Raw genomic sequence first — 24,838 nt, 5'->3', positions numbered from 1 at the left:
TGCTCCATAAAAGTGCCCCATCTATTGAAAACACCCTCCAAATGGTAAGTTCTATATCCCTGGACTTGGCATATAGGAGAGTCAGTTGGTGCAAAAGTAATTGTGATTTTTGCCATTGAAAGTAAGGCTAAGGCCCCAAATACTTTTGTACCAACCTAATAGCTGGCAAATAACACTCGAATTTTATTTTCACTTATTCCTGACCCTGAAAGTTACTCGTTTGTAAAGAAGAGGATTCTTTTCTGATTATTTCTAATAGTGAACATGAATGATGTGTGAAGTACAAGAACAAATAATTAGGTGTTTTTGTTTACAAGCCAGGGGTGGAAAGTAAAGCCTTTGGTCGGTCATTACAAGCCTGCAAGACAGTCTGCAATCATTATATTGGAAGACTTCTGGATGGCTGATTTTCTTATTCAAATGAAAGTTTCGGCATCATGTAAACATACATTGTATATACATGAATTTTTCAGTGTGTGATAGTATATGAATGTGTGTATGAGAGGGGGATGGAGGGGGAGGAGAGAGAGAGGTATACCTAAGAACTATGAAGAACTGAATGGTGACAGCTGAATTTGGTGCCATTAAGAATGAATCTGTGAGCCACAATGACTTTCATTAGACCAGATCAGCTGATTCTTCTGGACACATCTAATTTTGCCATTACAGATATGTGAAATCTAACAGAAAAAGCTTTTGTTTTGTTTTTGCATTTGGGCTTTGATGTCTAGGATTTGGATGTGCAGCATTCTCTAAAGCTGAAATGTTATAATCCACAGAGGAATCAGGGAGGAATTCCATTGAAGAGAGAAAATTTATGAGATCTGAAGACGTGGTGACAATGGATGGTAAGCTATATTCGTAAGAAAACATACACGCACACACGCTCACATCTCCTTGGCAATTCTTTTTCTCTTTGACCTCAAGTCTAACTCAAGGAAGACTCTTCTTTGGGACTGATGCTAGTAAAATTAATTACAATTTTATTCAAATCATAATTTTATTTTTTTGTGGAAGAAAAATGCTGGCTGTGAGGGTAGAATGGGGCTATTTTCTCAGATGGGAAAATAAGATAAAAATAATTACAGGGACCCATTCCTTGCCCATTTTACTCTCAATTATTTTTCCCAGGTGGAAGGCTGCCTCTACAGGCTCTGGAAGGCTGCCTCTACAGGCTCCATCTTCCAGGTGGGTTCCAATACCCTCTCCACATCACAGTAAAATAAAATCTTACTGTTTCTAATATCACAGCTTTCTGCTAGCTGGTGCATAACAGAGGCAATGGGGAACTAGTTAAAAGGTTCTAATTTAAACAGACCATAAATTTGGTTTGCCTTAAAGAATTGTAAGTTGGCCGGGTGCGGTGGCTCACGCCTGTGGTCCAGCACTTTGGGAGGCCAAGGTGGGCGGATCACGAGGTCAGGAGATCGAGACCATCCTGGCTAACACAGTGAAACCCTGTCTCCACTAAAAATACAAAAAAATTAGCTGGGTGTGGTGGCGGGCGCCTGTAGTCCCAGCTACTCGGGAGGCTGAGGCAGGAGAATGGCGTGAACCCAGGAGGCAGAGCTTGCAGTGAGCCAAGATCGCACCACTGCACTCCAGCCTGGGCGACAGAGCGAGACTCCATCTAAAAAAAAAAAAAATTTTAAGTTTAAGTGACTAGATAGTCAAATTGGGTTCTACTGCTAAGGACAAACACTGGGGAAACTGTGGGACAGGTGAGGTTATTTTCGGTGTGTCCTGAAGGTCCTCGTTGAGTGTCTGCACCCTCCAATCAGCACTAGTCCCTCCAGAATGTCCGGAAGCCCACCTTGCCCCTGCATAACATCATGTACTCATTACCTTTCCTGAGCTGACCCTCCCTGCTATGAAAATGAAACAGTGCTGTGTCCCTATTTTGAGATTCTCTTTTCTGCTATGAACTATATCTGCCCAGTCAGCTCAATTTCATCTAAATCTTAATTGTTTAAAGTAGTCAAGGAACTTTTCAATATATTTTCACCTGATTTCACATGACAGGCCCAGGGTTTAGCAACGTGAAGCCTCAGCCCTCTAAGGTGCAGACTTCTAGGTAAGCCCAAGAAGCCTCTAATGCTGTGATTTTTAGGACCTACAGTGAGTAACAGATGTCTGGGGACAACAGACCTTCTCCCTGACATCTTGGTCATCATGCTTGGTAGTGTATCACTGCCAAACATGACTGAATACTCATACCTTAATATGTATCGACCACAGGAGCTTTTAAATCTATAAGAAAGGTACAGGGATCTTTGACTTCTTGAGAAGAACCTGGTTTCTCCTTGTTATTATCATTTAAAATTGTTATTGGAACAGACCAATTACTGCGGGCTAACTATTCAAGTCCACGAATACATGTTCCATACATACCAATCAATCAACACAAAATTAAGATACTCAGAAATATAAGTCCTGATATTGGTGCAACATTTCAATAGCTTAGACATTTTTTAAAACTTTTTTCCTAAAAATTGCAATTTAGATTTCAGTAATACCATTATAAACATATGTAGATATAATCATCTAATTTTTACATATGTCCTAAAGAAAAATAGAGATCAAGGAAACTGTTAAAACTTATTAGGGAAACATATTAGTCATAAAGGAAAGATTTTCACCATTTTAATACATCATCTATATATACTTTTCTAGTATAAAATTTATGAACCACAGCTGGGCGCGGTGGCTCACGTCTGTAATCCCAGCACTTTGGGAGGCCGAGGTGGGTGGATCACGAGGTCAGGAGATCAAGACCATCCTGGCTAACACGGTGAAACCCTGTCTCTACTAAAAATACAGAAAATTAGCCGGCATGGCGGCATGCGCCTGTAGTCCCAGCTGCTGGGGAGGCTGAGGCAGGAGAATGGCATGAATCCGGGAGGCAGAGCTTGCAGTGAGCTGAGATTGCGCCACTGCACTCCAGCCTGGGCGACAGAGCAAGACTCCATCTCAAATAAATAAATAAATAAATAAATAAATAAATAAAATTTATGAACCACAAATATGGTTACCACCAATCACTTCAAACACAAAATTATATTGAACTGATCACTGAGCAAAAATCTTACAGAATATGCATTAACAGTAGCCAGAAAATCTATTAGCTTAGAACAAAGATAAACATGTTTTATGAAAAATAAACCCAAATAATAGACATTCTGGCAAATATGTCTGTCTCTGTATTTCCAATTGATATAATTCAACAAATTTTAATATGTATGAGTTATCTGTAAAGTTTTAAAAATATATATTTATGTTTCTAATGCAATCACATAAAACATGCAAAGTTCTATCAATGTACTGACCTATCAAATCGCTTTCTGACTTGCTTGTCTCCTTTCTCCCTCCTGTTTGATTGTGTAGGCAGTAATAAAGTTTCACTTTCGTTTCTCTGAAACCCATTAATGCTCTTAGGTTTACTTTCCTGTTCTTGGGTATTACATCACTTTGCTTGAACTGGATTTAAGAAACCATAGGAAATATATAAGAAAACATTTTAAGTAATGATTTTAACAAAATTTTCAAGGTTATTAATGCAAAATTTCCCATGATTTGTAAAAACATAGAAATCATACTGCATATTTGGGGCCGTTAATAGGGTATTTCATAAATTATCATAATGTAAGCTGGAGTGGGTAAATGCCAAATGTCATGACGTATGACTTAGAGAGGGAAAATGACCAAGTTGGTAGAGACTGGATCGACTTGACTTTCTGGCTAATCAACAGACTTAACCAGGGAGCTCTGAAAAACTGAGATTTCTGGGCCCCAAGGTCAGTTGGTGTGGGGAAGTTGTGATGGAAAACAGTGACTCCCAGGTCATTTTCATGCAAAGCCAGATTTGAATGTGGCTAGTCTAAAGTGAAATGTGCTGGAAGGGTTTAATAGAGGCCGAGTTTCAAAGACTGAGTACAAAAAAAGGAATATAAGCTGTCTCATTAATACTTTTTATATCGACTATATGTTGAAATGATAGCATTTGATAGATTGGATTAAATAAAATACAGTATTAAAATTAATTTCATCCACTTCTTTTCACTTTTTTAATGTGACTGCTAGAAAATGTATGATTTTATGTGTGGCTTACATTATATTTCCACTGGAAAGTACTGTCCTAGAGCAGGGGTTCTTAAAGTGTGGTTCCCAGATGAGTGGCCTCAGCATCACCTGGGAACTTGTTAAAGATGCAAATACTCTGCCCCTCACCAGACAGAAAGAGAAGCTCTGGAGGGCAGGGGCAGCACAGCAGTCAGTGCTTAACAAGCCCCGCAGGGTATTCGGACGTGCACTAGCAAAACCGTGAGAACTACTAGTGTCTCCATCCTGGAACATAAAGAAAGAGCCTCTTCCTTAATCCCAAACACTACACACAAGAAATAGATTCTCATGGAAGCCTAGAGAGATAAGGGGAAAGCCAGTTTCCTACAAATTACGTCGTTAAGGAATAATCTTTTCAAAAATATATTATTAATAATAATTAGCACACTTCTGGAGAACTTATAACGTACCAGACACTCTGCTAAGTGCTTGACATACATTTTTTTTCATTTTACCGTCACAACCCTACGAATAGAAATTAAGATTATCCCCATTTTTACATACGTGGAAACTGAAGCACAAAGAGATCTAGTAACTGCTCAAGGTCCCACAGTTAAGTGGCAGGGCCAGGACTCAAACCTAAGGCAGTCCAACTCAGCAAGCCCACGGCCATTGGGCTAACAGCACCTCAAAACCATCATAAACAAGTCACAGGGCTCACTGTCTATGAAATGCAGTAAGAACTCCACCAGGGGAATAAAACCGTTCCACGGGACCTGCCTTCTCAGGCCAGACAGGCCCACAGTATATGCCTTGCGCATTTGCAGGATGCACAAACTGCAGTGCGAAACCACTCCACTCACACAGGAATGGGCATAAATGAACTTGTTTCAAAGAAATGGCTATTTTTGGCTGGGTGAGATGGCTCACTCCTATAATCCCAGCATTTTGGGAGGCCGAGGCGGGTGGATCACCTAAGGTCAGGAGTTCGAGACCAGCCTGATCAGTATGACAAAACCTCGTCTCTACTAAAAATACAAAAATTAGCTGGGCATGATGGCGTGTGTTTGTAGTCCCAGGTACTGGGGAGGGGGATGGGGTGGGGCTGAGACAGGAGAATTGCTTGAACCCGGTAGGTGGGGCGGAAGTTGCAGTGAGCTAAGATCATGTCACTGCACTCCAGCCTGGGTGACAGAGTGACTCCATTCACCACAACCCCGACCCCACCAAAAAACGGCTGTTTTCCTGCAGCTTCCTACCTCAGGTGAAGGTGCAAAGAGTTGCAGTTAGTGGGCCCTCAGCCAACAAATTGTTTCTTGCGAGCTGTGATGCAGCCCAGTGGCTCTGTGACATTCTGGGGTCTAAAGGCATAACTAACTGAATTACTAACTTAATTACTAAGAGTAATTAAAGTGTCTGTGTACCTGACTTTGGTATAGCCTAGACAATGCTATTCAAAAATCCTGCATCACTATGATCACGTAGATCCTAAGACATTTTCTCATGGCTGCCTCAGAGGGGAAGAATCAGCACTGATTTTGTGCGTAGGAAGTCAATTATGCCATGTGATTTGAGAAGCAGCAAAAATCTCTCAGGCAAAACAGCATCCAACAGTATCTCTGAGTATGGCTTCTCAAGAGACATATGCATTTCTACTTAGTTGAAGGCATGCAATATATTACCTCTGGAAGAAGGCGCACTATCACAGACTAATTTATTTCATTCTCCTACTGCCGTCAATTGGCCCTTAGCAGACAGCAGTGCTCTGACAGGATGGGAAACAAGACAGGTACCCTTCGATAGGGAGAGTTGGAAGAACTTCACATCTGTCTATAAAGGGCATCATTCATCCTGACAGGCCACACTGTGGCACGAGGGCCTCAGATCTCCAGGTTGGAGGAAATGAACTCTGTGGTCTCTTTTGGCTCTCAGGTACTACAGGTTTGTACAGGCACTGGGAGTTGATGGAAACACTTATAAAAGGCGTGGGTGCTGTCTCCAATGATGTACAGTAGTAGGCTATTTCTCTGTACAGGTCACTTTTAAACCAGAGACTAACCATCCAGGGCCCTAAGCACAATCAGGGGCACTTGCATGCCAGCTGAAGAGGGAAACAAATGCTCCTTCTTCAAAACTGAGATTTGGTCTAAACTTAGTACTAGGTATGTTTTCTGTGGCCTAACTGTTAAATTGCCTAATTTCTCTTCCGTTTTGTCCCCTCCTCCTTTTCCCTCCATCCTTTGCTACTCCTTATCTGGCATGGTAATGACTCAGGTCTCTTATATTTCAAGTGTTTTTGCTCTTTGTTTCTGTGGTTTAATTTCCATAGTTTAATAAAAGTTCTTGTTCCTTAGAGGAAAGTCGCTTTAATTATTAGGACTGAGAAACATAAACAATGAAACAGGGTGGTGACTGAAATATGAATTTCATATGAATATACTTAGATTGGCATTTTTTGTTTAATTTGGAGAAAAAAACTCAAGGTTGCATTTTCATTCAAAGACATTTCAATGTACTCAACCCACTGTTAGAACAACTTCACTGAAAAGCATTTTAAGGGCAAATGTCAGAAAAAAATTTCACATTTAAAAGCTCTGGCTTGGCCTCTTTTGAAAAGCAGGGTTAGCCTTTGGTTTAGAAATGTCACTGCCTACTAAGTTCTTTGTGGGGGGAAGAAAGAAAATTGAATGTTTTATTTAAACAGGTCATTAACAGTCAATACTTATTTGAAAAGGCCTGCTTTCAGAGGCAGATAAAAGCTTCCAATCACTTAGAATATCACTTGAGCAGATCTAGGGCAAGATGTGCTCATGCAAGTTTGAGACCTTCATGGGAGAACCTCTTCACTCAACAGCCCCGAGTGCTGAGTGCTTGTATGGCAGGCAGAGTCATCTGCGTGGCGCACACTGTTGTATATGCTGCACGTACACGGCAGAGCAGAACACAAAACACACTTTATGGCAGTCCCAGCTTTGAATTTTCCATTTTAGTACTGGCAAATGCTTATGAATGAAGATTAACCATTTTTGCATAAAGTGCCAAACCACCTCCTCACAGCAGCAGAATGCAAATGGGCACAAAAGAGCAAAGGACAGCTAAAATAAATGCAGCGGATCTGAGGCAGTGCAAGCACAGGGGGAGGAGGACGCACGGCAGGCTTTATTAGCATTCACCTACGGCATGGTTTTTCTATTTAATTTGAAATTATTTCATTTCATAGGTCTCTGCTGGCTTGAGAATATAAATAAATGCCTTTTTCTAAAAGTGACCCAATGCTGGCTCCTATAAGGATCTGCTTCTGATTGCTGGGCTTTAAAGCAAACATGTGTTTCCATAGAGATGTGGGTGACCCGGACCTGGTGCAAGTACCCACTTGTATCAGCAACTCAATTATACTCGGTTCTTTCAAGATGCGATGATGTAAGCTCAAGTCTTTAAAATATGCCCATCCTCAGAGACATCTCAGGAAAGGTGAAGTGGCCAACGTTATGTGAAGCAGAGAAGAGGTTCAGCAGAATAAATGTCACCCTCTCCAAGCATACTGTAATTGGTTCTCTCCCTGCAGATCACACTGCTTTCCTCCCCCATCCCCCCCACCACCCGCTGGCAAATCCCAAATCCCAGAGGGGTTTGGACAAAAGATCAAACATAGTTCTTTATACTCCAGAGCCCCAAGTACTTTACCACAAACTCCCCAATGTTGAAAAAGAAATATGTGTTCCCTTTCTTCCTTTCCTTCCCCCATCTCTTTAGCTATGGGCAATTCCTACAGAAAGGGCAATGTTTTTTCTTATAATTTGACAAACATTCATTAAACACCGACAATGCACCAGGGTCTGTGGGGAATGCTGGCAGTGGTTAAAGCTACACTTACTGAACTCTTACCGTATACCCAGCAATGCTCTAAGCACGTTCCATGTATTAACTCCTTTTGTTCTCAGAATTGCCCTAAGCAGTGTGTACTTCTATTTTCGTTATCACCATTTTATAGAAAAATAAACATGAGCACAGAGAGGTAAGCTACTCACTAAGTCACAAAGTTATTCAGTACCTGGTTGAGCTAAGATTCGAACTTATATCTCCTGGCTCCAGAGCTCTTGGCCCCAAAGGAGCTTAAAGATCAATGATGAAGACAGATATGTACACAAAAACAAAGGAGAACGCCAGGCAAGGAAGTGGGGAAGGAAATGAGATTAAGAACTGGAAGAATTAGAGTTGGAATTCAGCTGGCTCAAGGTTTTGGGCACAGCAACACTGGGGCTGTGGTCTGTCCAGCTCAAAAGTCCCATCCCAGAGAGTCAGGCGCAAAGGTATTAGAGGCACGCTTGCTGTTAGCGGGGCTGGGGATGGGGCTGTATGCTTTTTAAACTTTTAATGGGATCTTTATAAGGACAACACTGCATATTCACGTCCAAAGAAAACATGGATTGTGGTTCTGCAATATAACTCTGAACCAGCAAAAAGAACCCCTAACTAAACCTGGCAAACAAAAGCTCTGTGTTTATAGCTAACTCTGGGAAGCTGGCTCGGTTGTCATGGAATAAAAATGTGGAAAAGGAACCCATCATCTCTTCACAGCACATTCTGGTTTCAAAAATCTCTGTTCCAACAAACTCACAGTATCCTAGTTCATTGAGTCAGAACACTCCTAGTAAACATTTAATAATTTTCTCAAAGTGGCAGAGAAAGTCAGTTTTCTTCCTAGTTCCTTGAAATGTCACTGGCACTGGCGGAACAAAAACAGTATATGATGTACTGCCTTAAACGCACTGGCACTTGGTGGGAAAGAAATACTGGGGAGTGAAGGCAGGGCTTGGACTTCCAGTTGGAGAGTACCCCCAGGCAGCCAGCCCCCTTTCCCACCCCATTACTGTTCTTCCTATGGCTTCCCAGCAAATGCAACCTCAACTCACTTTTTAAGGTTTCCTCGTGCTCCAAATCAGGGCTCTCAGTCCAGTTTCCAGCGACTGGCTTTCTCAGGAGGCACATAAGCTCTGTTCCCCCACTGGCCACCTTTATCAACTTGCTTTTACTGTGACCAGTAAGTCATCTCAATAGTGACGAATGTGGAGCCAGAAACCAGGGTAGTAGCAGGATCTTGGGCGTGGCTGAGTAATCAGCAGGGGGTTGGTGGCCTTGGTCACCTGAGCAACAGAAAGACTCACCTTCAGAGAGACTACTTGTTCCCTTTTTGTGAAACTGCCCAGTGTTTTTGCCTTCAGGGTCCTGTTAGTGAATGCCAGCTCTTCATCCTTCTTATCTTAGGGAAGGTATAGCTCTAAGACTGAACTTGCAACCTTTACACTCACTGCCCCTGAGGCTGAGAAGGTATAGGCTGGGACTGTAGTCATCATTCCAAAGGTCAGTTTCTGGGCATGATTGTCTGCTAAGGGCTTCTTATCTTCCAGGCGACACCAGGACAGGCATATCAATCAATTAGTACACATTCTTACACTGCACCCTGAAACCAGTTCCTGGTTCTACACCTAATTGAAAACATCTGTTAGCTAATTTTGCATTAAATGGAAAATGTAAAAACCATGTCTAGGGGTATACATTTTATTAAGGGGCATGTGCTCACACAAGGAAGTGAAGTTCTTGCCTGATCTTTATTCAGTTTAACGGCAAAAAGCCAGGGTGAGAAGCATGTGATAGAGTACATTTGGGGCAGAGTGGAGAGGGTTTTCTTACCTGTCAGACCTGCTCCATCTACACACACATTAGTCCTATATATGTTACCTGTTCACTGGTTTGAGTTTTAGAAATCTAACACATACATTCTACATGTTCTTAGAAAGGCTCACTTCCCTCTCAGATCAGGCCCCACCATCAGAGCCCATCTAGCTGACCACACACAAGCAGTTGGCCTAGAAAGCTGCTACCACCAGCCCTGTGCCTCTGTCACCAAGCACAGGATCTTGGGCCCTTAAGTAATCTCGCAGAGTAAACACTGCCTATTTTCTGCAATACAGATTCTTCCTTATGTTCTTATGACCGAAAACAAGCAATTACGATTCACCAAGATTGAATCCCAGCTCTACCTCTTACTAGTTTTGGGATTTGGGCAAGTACTTTGATCTAGGCCGTGTTTCCTCATCAGTAAAATAGGGATAATAATAGTAACTACGGCATAGCGTGGTAAGAAGGATGAAATGAGTTCATGTTTGTAAAGTGATTACAACAGTGCCTGGCACACAGCAAGTGCTATAAAAGTGCTATAAAAGAATATAAATAGATGCTCTCATAGCTCATGTGGTAGCTTTCCCACTGTCCTCATTTTACAGGTGAGAATCTAAGGATTATGAGGTTACCAACATGCATCCAGCCAGTAACGGAGCCGGCCCTTGAAACCTGACCTTCTGACCACAAGTTGTCCTGGTGTGGCTACACCCGTCCCTTTTCCAACTCATACTGTCACCTGATGGGAGAGGTGGGGTGACTCCAGAGAGGAGAGGGTGGCGGCCCGAAGCTAGGGGCCTGACTGCAGCCCTGCTAAGGAAATACGAACTCTCAGGGCTCTGTCTGTGTCCACAGGGTCATTTGTGTTCCATGCTTTTAAAACAGCTGCACTGGCAGAAGCAAATCCATTACTACAATACCACTTCTGCATAGAATGGATCGGAAACCAATGTCAGGTCACGATTTCCTGCCTTGTAGCTATCAGATGTGCTCAGTGCTTTCGTGACCAAATTCACAGCTTAAGGTACTTGTCTTCAAAGGACAACAAACAGTCATAACATAGAAAGAGCAAAGTTCAAATAAAGCCTTGGAGCTAATAAGGGAACAATCTAAAAATTACTAAACCTCTTTCCATACATGATTTCAGGTAATTGTATCAACATGAATAAAAGAAAGAATTCATATGATTTTAATTCCCTTTAGTTTATTCTAATGCAGTCACAGATAATAAAAACTCATTTTGATCATTTATTATATGCTCAGGATTCTAGGGGGTCATATTTACTATCTTAGTGAACTTTCCATTTCCAGCTGTAATACAAAATAGAAATTTGTCACCTGAAATATGCTGTAATGGGAAATTAATAAATAGTTTTAAAGTGCTTCAAATATACATGACTTTAACAGATTTAATACGTTACAAAAAGAATTCCTTCCTTTTAAAAAGACTGCTTCTGATAAATTCCACTTTGCCTTTCTCTCTTCCAAAGTTCCAAATACAATGCCTTTGACAAGCTAAGTGTTCAATGAAGACACATGGAAAGAAAGGAATAAATGTCCTCTCATTTTATTCTTCCTGTCTTGCTTGCAATGAATTTTTAATAATTTTTTCTCCAGTTTTTAACCCCTCATACTAAGTTATCACTTTAAATGCCACCCTTTTAAAACCAGCACTGTCAGGCTGGGCACAGTCACTCATGCCTGTAATCCCAGCACTTTGGGAGGCTGAGGTGGGAGGATCCTTCGAGTCCAGGAGTTCGAGAGCAGCCTGGGCAACACGGTGAAACCCTGTCTCTACTAAAAGTACTAAAATTAGCCAGGTGTGGTTGCATGTGCCTGTAGTCCCAGCTACTAGGGAAGCTGAAGTGGGAGGATCACTTGAGCCCGGGAGGTGGAGGCTGCAGTGAGCTGTGATCATGCCACTGGCACTCCAGCCTGGATGACAGAGTAAGACCCTATCTCAAAAAACAGAAAACCCAGCATTGTCCAATATTGTTCTAGCCACATCATTTCACACACCTTCCAATCCACTCTGCTCTTCCTCCCAGCATACCTCCAACCTTGCAATATCTTTTAGCCATTATCAGAGTCAAGGTCTAATCATAAGCACCCAAACCTTCTATATCATCCTTATTGGGCCTCATGTATCCCCTCTTTAACCTGGTAACTTGCCTACCATCTTTTACTGATTTTATTTCTTCTTACTGTAGAGCCTTATACCCAGGATAAAGTCACTAGACTATAGCTCTCTAGTTCCTCTCGATCAAAGCCTACACTTTTGTCCAAAAAAGAAAGACTGAAGTTAACCTTTTCTATGGAGTATGAAAAAAAAATTCATTTTCACCCAATGCTAAACACATTTAACCATTAGCCTCACTCCTATATACCCACGTAACTCCAGCACAGAGAGGGATTTTCATTGCTGTTGGCACCTACATGCACTTTACGGACGCTTCATAAACCACCTCATGGCCTGCCTTGGCCACACTCTTAGTTTGTAGCATAAAAGGATGGAGTGCAGACACACATCCTCTCTACTTTGCACGGAGCTCTAGCCTGCCCTATGGCTCAACTCACACTGGGGGAAGTTCAGAAAGTACCAGATGCTTCCAATGGTGTACAAGCATTAGCAATACATAGTTTAATCTCTTCCAAATCATTTTTCTAAAGATTGAATGAAACAAAACTTTTTTAGTACAGTGGCTCAAATAATGCACAGGCCTCTCAGCTAAATATAATACCATATATTATTTCCCTTTGGAAGACTTTCATAGTTATTCAATCTACCTAACACCAATTTTGAGGTGTAAATATATTAGGTTTTGATTACTTGTTTGGTGAAATAGGTCCATCTCTCACAGCTTTGGTTCCATTTATACCCATTCTTGGCCGATTCGTAGAGACAAATAATTAGGAATGTCTGTTTTATCTTACTAATGCTAACAATTTCATTATCTAACTGTGGAACATGTCCTTTGAGTGTGCTCCTCCTGGGCCAGACACTACATGTAGAGGGTGCCTGTGTGTGTGTGTCCCTGTGACAACTGAGACCCAATGCCTATTCTTGGTGGGGGTGTATATTGCCATGCACAGGGGGATCAAAACCAAGAGAAATAAGAATGTAACAAAATGGTCAACAAATCATTCTGAAATGACTACAACCATGTACATAAAGTGGCTTCTGGAGGGATGAGATGGCTTTAGTTTAGGTGAGCTTAATCAAAGAGGGCTTCAGAGAGGGAGTGCTCTTTTGCACTACTTTGAGGCAATACTGGCAATGATCGGAATGGCACTGCAGGTATGAGGAAGAGCGAAAGTGAAACTTCGCTTGCAGAAACAGTGACTAATGTGTAAAGCCAGAAATAAAACCTACCTGCTTAGCACACAAAAGTCAGTTAATAAATATTTACTGGGAGGCCACGATTTGTCTCTGCTAGATGCAATGTATTTAGTTAATTATGATGCAGTATAAATTTAAGATTGGCTCCTGCAGGGAGATAAGATTAGCAGGCAGTAAGCAATGAGATGACATCAGAAGGCAGTATTTGAGAAGGTGTCTATATGGTGTGGTTTACATTTGTTCTGTTCGTAATGCAGCTAGAGGTAATATCCTTGTTTCATTTTTCTTTTAGTAAATGGGAAAGTTCCTTCTCATCCTATCCCAGCCCAATTCTCCCTCCCACCCCACTGTCATTTTTGGTTACATGGTTCTGAATCTAGACCTTATGCATTTTCTCTATTATTCTTGAAATACTGAATTGAAAACAGGATCTTTTAAAATAACTTCAAATTGGTGCAAGCTGACTTTCAGTACTTTCAGTTTTGTAAAAATATATGCTTTAATCTAACAAATATTAAAGGACTCCAAAAAAATAAAATTATATAGGCGAGTTACACTTACCTCTAGGAAAGTAACTCATAAATTATATTTAAGATTCCTTTTGGTTTTATTTTTACCTGATTTTACATCCTGTGAGATGACTAACACCAAATATTACATAATTTACCAAACTCAGTCTGGAAAAAGAGATAACCAGACACTGAAAAGACACTCTTGTTTGTTTTACTAAATGCTTCTCTTAAAAATGCGAGGAGGTATTAGAAAAGAAAAATGTCTTCAAAACTTAATCTACATTTGTATCTATTTCTGAATGGCTACCAGCCAGTCTTTAAGTCTTGGTTTCATTTTTTGTTCCAAGCTTTCGAATGATACTTGACTAGACAGAATGCGACCCCTCTAGATGTTTCATACAGAACATAGGGTAAGGATGGAGGAAAGACTCTAATGGTCACAGTATTAGTCAGTTTTGTTCTTTTTTTTTTTTTTTTTTTTTTGTTAAGGCAGTCAAATTTAGCACAGGGGGATTATATGCCAACTTTAGTGACACTAATGTTAATAAGTTCTGGTAACCCACTACCATCAGACCAACGTAGTTAGTTTTTGAAGAATCCTAAAGCCATGCTGTATGGTGGGGAAAAATTAATTTAGCTTATGACAAAGCATTATCCTTCAAGCCTCTGAATAATCAGCCTCTTGCTTTACAAACACTTCTTGTGTCTGACAGCTCTGCCATGCCTTTAGCAATAGCTATCATTTACTGACCACAGTCATTCATTCATTCAGTATTCATTTTAGCACTTAGTGGGCACCTGCTCTGTGCCAGGTACCATCCTAGGTGCTGGGGATACAGCAGTGAACAAACCAAACAAAACCCTCTTTAGGCACCACACTGGATGATTCTATTTCACTGAGACCTCACAATGTATCTGCATGTAGGTATTATTATCTCCATTTTAGAGATGAGGGAACTAAGGCTTATATGTTAAGGCCCAGGTCCCAGAGCTAGTCAACAGCAAGGCTGGGACTGAAACCTCTCAAACTAACTCCGAAGCTGGTCCTCATTCCACTAGTCTGGTGCCATTGTTTTGGTTCAATACAAATTAAGGGAATATGTAGCTTAAAAATTATTTAGAGGGTTCATTCCAGTTGCAACATCTTAGTATTCACAAAAATTAGAATCGTAGATGTAAAGCTGGCTTGGCAAAAATGCCAAAGGGGGAAGGAAAATTATCAATGGGAGGAACAACATTTTCTCAGTGCGTTAAATTTTGCTCCCCACTTCCCAGTGAGGACAAACCACCATGGAATACCCTTTCCTGGGCCACATTCTTTCTTATCCATTCCTTAACTTACTATCTCCTTATGTTCCTTTCCCTTTATTCCTGTTACATTTGGTGTCATTAAAGGGCAGGTGAAGCTGTCCTGGGAGGTAGTGAGACTCCTGTCACAGAATCTGTTCAAGCAGAAGCTGGCTGGCCATTGAATGAGGATAATGGAGAGGGAATTCACTTACAGTTCGGGAAGATGGGGGACCTCTGCCTTATAACTCCAGAATTCCAAAGGGAGAAACAATGTTGTTTTTGCAGTCTTTTCCCGAGTTTCCCATGAGGCAACTAGAGTGGTCTCATTCTGTCTTAGTCATGTGTTGTCTGAAAGCTTGAAGCAAAAATTGAAGCCAAGTCAAGTCCAGCTGATACCTACAAGGCACACTCTCAGAAGTCAATTATTTCCTTTGGGTTTTTATGCCTGGGAGTCTGAGATGGTGATGGAAAGAGCCTTTCTTCCTGCAGGCAGGGCCAGAAATGCCTCAAATCTACGGCTTTGTTAGAAAACACGGTATGACTTACCGTTCAAAGCAAAATCTAAAGAAGCTGTTCGATGACACAAATATCTTCTAACAGATTTTGCATGTTTGGGTTGGTTTGTAACTCAACCCAACCTTCATGAGAAGCATCTCCTGGTCCTAATGTACCCACAATCTGCAAGTTGGTGAAGCTTCAACACTGAACTCAACATCCAGTAACTGTTTACTCTTCTGGAGTCCTGGGACTCTATGTATAAGGGAATTTATCCATTCCCAAATTAATTTGTAGATAAGACATTTTGTCTTGGCAGATCTTGAGAACTTTATTCTTGAGAGTGCACTTATTCCTCATTTGACATAGTCTGGAGTCTTCTCACCCTGAGATACATACTCCTGAGCTGTAAGTTAATCCCGCAGTCAATATCCTCATTAAATAGCCATCCAGACCTTGCTCAAACATATTCTACAATGGGGATCCATGCATCCTAAAAGAGCTTTTTCTGTACAAGTCTACTTGTGACTAAACCCTTAGCTAAGACGGAGGCAACTGCCTTCCATGAATGTGCTAGCTCTGCCTTCAGACACTCCTTAAACCTGGTCACTCTTCCAAAATTCTCAGATTCATCTTACGTATGCTTTCCTCTATCCTAGTACAGACTTGTTCATAGAATCAAAGGATGTCAGAGTTGGAAAGAACTTTATATAATACATTCCTAAATTAATTTGTGGATAAGACATTTTGTCTTGTCAGAACTTGAGAACTTTATTCTTCCCACCCTGAGATACATATATACATGTATATACTCAGTGGTTTTATTCATTTTTAAATGCAGCCTAAGATTGCATTTTCTTGATAATCACATCACGGTATACACTGATCATAATGAGCCGACAATCAATTAAAACCCCCAAGATTTCCTCATATGACCTGAGTCCCATTTCCCCAATCTTTACTTTGGCAGTTGATTTTTCTTTTTGAACCTTAAGTGCATGTGTTTACATTTGGCTCAAATTAATTTTGTCGTACTAATCTGGCTGATTTCTCAAGCCTATTAAGGTTCTTTCGGGTAGCAAATCTGTAACTTTCCACTTTAGCTGTCCATTTCACTTTGGTCATTCACAAATTGAAGGATATCATTTATGTCACTTATGCCATTAAGTACACAGTCTGGGCTTGAATCTCAGCTCTGCCACTTAGGAACTGTGTGACCTTGAGGAAATTAAACTCTCTGTGTTGCAGTTTACTCATTCATAAAGTGGAGATAAAAGGTTATCAATATCAACTACACAGAATTGTGAAGATTAAATAAACTAATATATATAGAATAATAGAACAGTTTTTGACACATAAGAGTTCAATAAATGTCAGTTATTTCTATTGTTTCATCAAAATCATCACCATTCATGTCACTGATAAAGAGAGATCTGGAATAGAACAGAGTCTATACTGGTTACCCTCCGCAATTACACTGACCCATTCTTTGGCACTCTCTGGGTTTGTTATGCAAACCTAGTTGTGAATCCATTGAAACTATTCTGTTATTCAGTTCTTATTTCTCCATTAAATCCATAATGAAACCCCGAGATATTGTGAAAACTGCGTTGATGAAATTCATATACACCATATCTATTACATTCTCTTCACTTTGCATTCCATTTATTCTATTGAACAGGAAAATCACTTAGTCCTGCTTGACTTCTTGGAGCCTAATGATTATCACTTGCTTTTCTGAGTGTTTTCTGTTTTCAGAATAAATTCCAGAATTTTGCTGAGCTTTTATGTTTTCTCTTTTTGTCAATCACCAAGCTTCTGGGGGCTTTCTCCATTCTTTGCCATTCTCACAGATGACTGACTGCAGCAACAGTCACAGGTGAGCAAGGCATGTGATGCAATCCCGGCCAGGTGGCCCCAGTCCATGACGAGGCACTAAGGGCCTAGCACTACACTGCTGGGGACCTCAGTTCCTTCTTACTCACATTTTGTTTTACCCTTACAGGTGAGAAATCAGTATCCTTGATTAAAAGGCAAGAATAAGAAGGGAGCAATAGTACTTTGTTTTTCTCTCATCAGAGATCTTGTCTCTTTCTTATTTTTTTTCTTTACGAAACTAAAACAAATCTGTATAATAAAAAAGATAAAAATAATATCGCAGTCTTGACAGAAATAACTACATCATTATTAAAAAATGCACAAAACTCGACATCACTAGGATTCCAGTCTTCCATATCTGGATTATTCTGTCACCATTATTTTCTGTAGGATTGTTTCTTACCAGCTTTTTATGTCTTTGGTTGTTTTTAGGATTTTTTTATATATTATACTTAATTTATACTTATTATCCAGTACTTAATACTTATTAAGTATTATTATACTTACTATCCAGCTCACCCTGGATTCCAGGCTTCCTGACACTTTTCTGATGGGATTCTGTCTCTCTCTTTGATATTTGTTCTTGGTTATTGGCCTCTCCCTGCATTCTTTTTAAATGGTCTTTTATGGCCCCTGCCTCACGGTGGCTCATGCCCGTAATCCCAGCACTTTGGGAGGCCAAGGTGGGCGGATCACTTAAGGTCAGGAGTTCAAGACCAGCTTGGCCAACATGATGAAACCCTGTTTCTACTAAAAATACAAAAATTTGTCGGGCATGGTGGTGCAAACCTGTAATCCTAGCTATCCAGGAGGCTGAGGCAGGAGAATTGCCTGAATCTGGGAGGCAGAGGCTGCAGTGGGCTGAGATCGCACCACTGCACTCCAGCCTGGGTGACAAAGCGAGTCTCTGTCTCAAAAAATAAATAAATAAATAAAATAAATGAATGTTCTTTTATGAGTTAATTTGAACATGCCCTTTGCAGCCATAACTCTCTTCTTTTTTTTTTTTTTTAGAACTATCAAATCTCTAATTCTAATCATTCAAACAGTTATGGACTGTTAGACTTGGAGTACATGTGTATGTGTAAGACAGAATGTGTACATTATCTTTGGTAATTTGGAAACATAATCATGATTATATTATCAAGATTTCATTGTTGATTCTTTCATTTTATACATATACACATATATTTTATATATGTATATGTAAAACTTACTGGGTATCAGCTATGTGCCAAGACTGTTTGAGGAGCTTTAGGAGTACCTAGAAAGAGCCCTAATTTGAATGTAGAGATGGGCTTCTCATCTCTTCAGTCATCTTCTCTTTCAGAGTCTCCGGCTATAGAACTATATCTTCTTCTTCTCTGAAATATTTGGGATTTCCCCCTGAAGTCTGTAATACATGTCTGCTATATCCACCATCTGCTCCTTAGTTAGCACAAAAGCTTAAACATTGTGGTCACAATCCCCCAAGTGCTGGCCCACAGCAGACACTCAACATGTATTTATCAAATAAATTGATAAAGATTCCTTCTACTTCTATTTTACCAACCAATCTTTTCTTGGTTAAAATTAGGTCCAAAATAGCAGTTTCCTTCATTTACTTTACTTCTCTAGAGAGAAAATGGCAGTGAGGCAAATTAGTATCTGAGACCCCATTTTCATTTAAACATGAATAAGACTTCAAGCAGATGCCGAAAGAGCTTAAGTCTCTCATCACTCTTACTACCTCTGTGTCATTTTTGTACATTATAGCAGAACTAAATTATACCAATGCCCAATATGACTGAATGGTCTAAGTTCATTGAGTCAACTAAACTATGTATTGTCCACCACATGTGAGGAACTCTCCTGGACACTGAATTTTTTTCTTCTTCCTTTTAACTTCACCAAGTATGCATCTTCTTTTGGGTTTTTGGATTCTCACACCTCTGCCTCCCTGAGAAGTTCGGGATTCCTGCTCCACGGAAACAACCCACTGAACTATTACAGTGAAAAAGCTCATTTCCCTTCTGTTTCTGCTCTGTTACAAATCCTGCCATTCATCAACTTCTTTTCTTAGGGCAGATTAGTTAAAACCAGGTTTCTCAACCTTTTTATAATGAAAACTTTCTTACTTTCTTATAACGCTGTTTTGAATACCAAATTAAGTATAGTAATTTAAAAATCAGAACCATGAGACAAAATACTACATTGTTTATAAACTACAACTCTTATCACTTACCAGTTAGGAACCATTTATCTGAATCTGAAAATAAGTAACATTTTTAAAGAATGCAGCTAAATTTACAATGTGATTCAGTTGATCATCAACATGATCAATAACTTTTAGGATCTGAACTTTCATTCACACATTCATTTACTCCATATGTAGCATAAAAATTGGAATTCACTTTCAATACTGGGATATGTAAATATGGGCATTCCTTTCTTAACTTTTTCAATCTACTTTTTAGAAAGTAATTTAGGTAATCTATGATCAAATGCAAACGCTGCACGCAAACAAACCACATAATTTATTTTCCATATGAAATAAAGACATACTCTTATTTTCTTGAAAAGTATAGATTTTCATCTAGGCTTCTGTACCAAGATTTTGAGTCATCAGATCATTTTCACTGACTACGATTTGAGTACAGAATAACTTGTGTTCACAGAAACAACAAATCCATTTGTCTTTGCTGTTTCCTGGTGTGTTGCTAGAAGACTGTGTTCTGTCCACACGAGGTCATGGCCCTGACCTGGAAGTGGGCTTTGCTGAGTAAGCAGGTCAGAGATCATCATGATTGCAAAATAAGCAAGAAGGCATGAAAGTAATGAAGAAAGAGAGAGTGGGGGAAAAAAACCCAACTTAATGTTAATTAGCCTATAAGCTAAGCTAAACACAGTTTTTGCCCAAAGATAAAAGAAATTCTGTACAGGGCAAGAAAATGTTTAACGAAATACAGACTAAAATTTATTTGTAGTGAGTTTACTTAGAATACTGATGTTTTATCCTCTCAGGTATATCTTTTCAATAATATTACGACTTTGCAGTAAGGTTAAGAAGTAATTTCTGAAAAGTGTTTAGTCTATTTTTGAGTCTTCGATTAGTGACAGTCACCAGCAAATGTTGAGCAAATTTTGGAAAAATTAATTGCACCTATAGAAACTCTTAGTAAATTACTACTTTGGTTTATTACATACTATATATTAATAAAGCATCTAAATGTGTTTAATTTACTAGCAAGAAGTACCTGAGATATGGTAAGATTTTGATTTCTATGGTAATAAGCTTTAGGAATGTAGAAGGCAACATCTTGAAAATCTGTAAGCCTCCAATACAATCTTGCAGTGTGACATGGATTCCTCCATTAGTTAGGAGTTAGCTAAGCAGACATCACATGTGAGCTATTGCAATTATTTACAATTAATACTGCACATTTTTGCTGGGATGTTAGTTTGCATTTTCCTTTTATTTTCATATCAAATATTTCACACAGTCATGGTATTATGCCTATTACCAACTCAAGTCCATGAATAATCATCAATATTTGCAGACTTTTTTCTTATTTGATACTGCTGTTTTTATACGATAGTTTATTTAATTATATTCACTTGAAATTCTTAGTATAACAAAAGATTTCATTAACTCTCCCTAGGTAAAAAACAGATGGATACAAGAATAAGAAAGCAAACATAAGCAGAATTTGTTATTTTCTCAGGCTCAAAAGCCTCCTTTTGAGTGTGCCAGTCAGTCCAAATGAAGAGGATATTCTATGATAAGTAAACCCTTGGGATCAAGGACAGAAATATCAGCACAAAACAGGTATGAATCTGTTGACTGTTAATGTATGTAAGTGGATGGGGTGAAATAATTAATCCATGTTCAAGTAGTCTAGGCAATCCACCTAACTTGTACTTTGCAAGATATGATTGTTGATTTATGGTGCTGGGACAGCTAATGAGTTGCATTAGAATCCCAATATGTTCATGTTTGAAAAGAACTCCTTAGCATCTCAACAAAATTTCTCTTTTTATAAATGAGGAAACTGAGGCTGTATGGACAGAAGGAACTTGATGAAAGTCACACTAGTAGAAAGTGGCAGGGTCAGGACTTAAACACAGGTCTACCATTCTTACTCATTCAAGAAAATTTTATTGAGCATCTCCTATGTATATAGGCTTGTGCTGAGTCCTAGCTAAAAGAACAGTACATGAAATACAATCCCTGGCCTCGAGGAACTTTGATTTTAGTGAGGGTGACCAGACAAGTGAGCAGAAAACAATACAATACAAGCCATTCTAGGGGAAGCACAAAGTTTTATTAGACCACTTTGAGTTGGGGGTGAGATGAGGGCAAACAACAAAAATTAGGAGGGTCAAGGAAAGCTTCCAGGTGGATGTCAGGTTTAAGCTGGGCCCTGAAGTAGCTAGGTGAATGGGGACACAGTGAAGAAGAAAGAAAAAGGAAGAACATGATCCTTAGAAAAAAATAAATACCCTAAGAATAAGGCCATAATGTTTCTGGCTAATCCATTATCCATATTAAAACTTTGTTAGCCTGAGTATATCACGGTAGAGTCTGATCATCTCTGAGTTCACAGACAGAGTCCCATGTATAGACTTTGAAGACTGAAAACCAGGCTTTGAAACATGGCCTCAACTGAGAAGTCCTGTGTAGGCAACCAGCCAGCAGCAGCCCCACAGTGGTCATATTGCTGTCCCAGCCAAGCCGGTACAGCTGTCATCCTCCTTGAGCCCCATGATCTTTGGCTGTAAACAGGCATAATGCCATCTATTTATCTATTTCATAGTGATGTTGTGATGATGCTCCCCTTCCTCAGCAGAAAATGGAAGTAATAATATGTATTTCGCAGTGATTTTGTGAGCATTAAAAGATAACATAAGTAAACCCACAAAATATTAGCACTTGGGTAGTAGGAATACAATTCTGTTGGTTTCTTGTCCTGTGATAATGCAAAAGCTGTTCCCTGGGAATCTGACTGACCCAGCAAAGACAGAGGAAAACCTGTGGCTTTCACTTTATTCACTTACACCAGGATCTACCCAACTGACTTAACTGACCTGAAGGACATCAATGAATGTCAGATTGCGAAGATTCTCCTCTTTAGAGAGACTTTCTTAATCAATAAAACAAAACAAAACAAAACAAAGCAAAAATAAGAAAACAATACACGGAGTTTATTCTTCCAGCCCAGTCATCCCTGAACTGGAATGCCTCACTCTAGAATGCCCAACCCACCTGGGACTGCCCTGCACTCACCGGGATGACTGGCAACTGGTCCTTCTCTGCTCCCTGCTAGGAACTTCCCTCCCCTACCTCTCTACAGACCCCAACAAGCCTTCAGACATTCCTGCAGTCCAGGCAGAAAGGAGAAAGAAAATACAGGGAGAATTGCTTTGGGGAAGGACCTATGAGTGGGTGGTATCTGGATGGCACTAGAATAAATTTCCCAAAACTTGGCAACAAGTGAAATAAAAACATCTTCTGAGAGTTGATATATAAAATCAATAAATGATGAACCCTAGGAGAGACTTCAAAGTCCCCTTAAAGTGACTGGGCCACTATAAGACTTGACAGTTGCCACTGACATTAAGAAAGAAGTCCATCGGCAACCTAAACACGGGAACAGGGCACTCAGTGGGAAATCTTGCCCGTCTGAACGCTGGCAAGGCGGAGATACATCACTATGTTCCCTATGCTAAGTACTTCTCACAAATCATTTTATTTAGCAATTACAACAAACCGGTGACACAGCTCATTCTATTCTTCTTACCGAACAGGAGAGGAAACACTGTGTTTCCTAGTGCTGCTGTAACACATTAGCACACATTTAGTGGCTTAAAATAATAAAAATTCATTACCTTACAGTTTTGTAAGTCAGAAGTCTGACAAGGATCCTTTTTGGAAGCTCTAGAGAAGGATCTGTTTCCTTGCCCTTTCTAGATTCTAGAGGCCACCCACCTTCTTTAGCTTATGTCTCCTTCCCCCATCTTCAAAGCCTGCAGCGTCCCATCTCTCTGACCATTATTCCACAGTAACATCTCCCTCTGACTCTGAGCTCAGCCATAATATCTGTTTTTTTTCACTCTCCAAGAATCAATTTTCATACCCTTGGGGGCAATGTTGCCCCTGTTGAGAATTCATGACCTATTCAAACAGGAATACTAACACTGAAGTGAGTGCCTGTTGTTGATCTTCCACCACAACCTCCCAGTTTTCCTTCCTCTGGTATGTGCCAGCCATGCAGGTGGAGACTGATCCAAGGCTTTAAGCTTTGACCACAGAAATTAATGCAGAAAAGGTACACACTAAAGCACTCAGCCAATGAAATGAGACTTTTCATTATTATGTCATCTCTACAACAGACAGTAGAAATGCTAACATTTGTATATCAAACAAATGACCAGCTATGAAACATATTTTCAATGTCATTTTTAATATCTTCTGTACACTTACATTAATCCAATTCTTGGGAAGAGCTATGTATTTATTTCTTGTTCCTAGTTAAAATAATGAATGTCCTTGATCTAATTCTGCCATGGTTTTTATTACTTTTCTCAATAACAAAAGCCAGAAACAAAATCTGATTTTGCTTCTAGCTGTTTAAAGAGATAAAAATCAGTGTGACTGTCAAAATCCAGGTTGGTCTTGTCAGGTTGAGAGGAAAACCAGGGCTACAGCTGAAGAAGACGAATATGGACACTAACATGAAAAAGTGCTTGGCTAGTCAAGTAAACAAATAAGACACACAAGTCCCCGATAGAGTATGTATAGCACTGCACTATAATAAGCAAACTGTCTTTTTATGATTTTTTTCCTAGCGAGGATATTGCTGAAGTAATGCAGATTTTATAACGAGGTGGTAGTAGTAGTATAATTAAAAAAAAAACTTTAAATTTTCATTCATTAGCATTTTAAAAGTTTAATTTTTATCATTATAGGCATCAAACATACATTACTGCCCCTTTCAGAGACGTGTAGCAATAACTGAGACTAATAGAAGGATCTGGATCGAGGGGCAATGGCAGTACGGCTTCCGTGGCCTAAAATCACAGTGATCATGCATGCGATCTTGGTTTTATACTGAACCTATCTGGCCTGAAAATTGTACCTAGAAAATTTATTTTAATTCAATTGTACAGTAGCAAAATATATTCCTGGGGGTTAGGCTTCAAATTATTTTCCAGCAGGAGGATAGGTGTATCTCATCATTGAAATGGAGGCCTGAGAGCCACAAAGCTGCAACACCAACCTTCTACTGCAGAGCGAGATTTTCTCCTTCTTTATATCCTTAGATATTTTTTTACTTTGCTTACTAGTCCCCTAGCTGAACTCCGGGTCAAAACATGCTGCTAGGCTGGCGCTACAAAGCCACAGGCAAAGCAAACTGTTGTCCCCAAAATCCATTACTTCCTTCTACCTGGGTGCACAATCGCCCATCTAAAGGTCATAATTTCCATCCTCCCTTGCAATTAAGTATCTTCACATAGGTAAGTCCTGGCCAATGGAATGTGAATGGAAGTAATATGCAAAACTTCTGAGTTGTACCTTTAAAAGGAAAGGGTGTGCTTCCCACTT

At 39.8% G+C, this 24,838-nt stretch overlaps 1 protein-coding gene and 1 pseudogene across 15 annotated transcripts in view, besides 3 other annotated features; both read right to left on the bottom strand.

Moving 5' to 3' along the window:
- SPATS2L (spermatogenesis associated serine rich 2 like) overlaps nucleotides 1–24,838 on the bottom strand; it is a 176,386-nt gene that overhangs the window by 94,921 nt on the left and 56,627 nt on the right. For 2 of the 15 annotated variants that reach the window (XM_047443894.1, XM_047443895.1), the window contains exons 1-2: nucleotides 8,973–9,118; nucleotides 3,327–3,477 (exon numbers count right to left, since the gene is read on the bottom strand). The exons of 12 other annotated variants lie outside the window; for them this stretch is intronic. The gene's annotated coding sequence lies outside the window, so the exon portion shown is untranslated. Of the gene's footprint in view, nucleotides 1–3,326; nucleotides 3,478–8,972; nucleotides 9,119–24,838 lie in introns of those variants that run through there. One more of the 15 variants, XM_005246458.3, reaches the window with a different exon arrangement.
- Nucleotides 3,328–3,467: an enhancer, noted in NCBI's record as "active region_16957". NCBI's record gives its function as "activates an Ori minimal core promoter by ATAC-STARR-seq in GM12878 lymphoblastoid cells {active_cell/tissue: GM12878}" and the evidence as "EXISTENCE:reporter gene assay evidence [ECO:0000049][PMID:35858748]".
- Nucleotides 8,167–8,693: an enhancer, noted in NCBI's record as "H3K4me1 hESC enhancer chr2:201243374-201243900 (GRCh37/hg19 assembly coordinates)". NCBI's record gives its function as "activates a minimal SCP1, AML or CMV promoter by ChIP-STARR-seq in naive H9 embryonic stem cells {active_cell/tissue: H9 hESC(naive)}" and the evidence as "EXISTENCE:reporter gene assay evidence [ECO:0000049][PMID:30033119]".
- Nucleotides 13,167–13,216: an enhancer, noted in NCBI's record as "active region_16956". NCBI's record gives its function as "activates an Ori minimal core promoter by ATAC-STARR-seq in GM12878 lymphoblastoid cells {active_cell/tissue: GM12878}" and the evidence as "EXISTENCE:reporter gene assay evidence [ECO:0000049][PMID:35858748]".
- On the bottom strand, nucleotides 14,077–14,166 carry RNY4P34 (RNY4 pseudogene 34; annotated as a pseudogene).

This window comes from Homo sapiens, chromosome 2 (genome assembly GCF_000001405.40).
Source record: "Homo sapiens chromosome 2, GRCh38.p14 Primary Assembly".
Classification (NCBI taxonomy): domain Eukaryota; kingdom Metazoa; phylum Chordata; class Mammalia; order Primates; family Hominidae; genus Homo; species Homo sapiens.
This window is presented reverse-complemented; position numbering and strand designations above follow the sequence as displayed.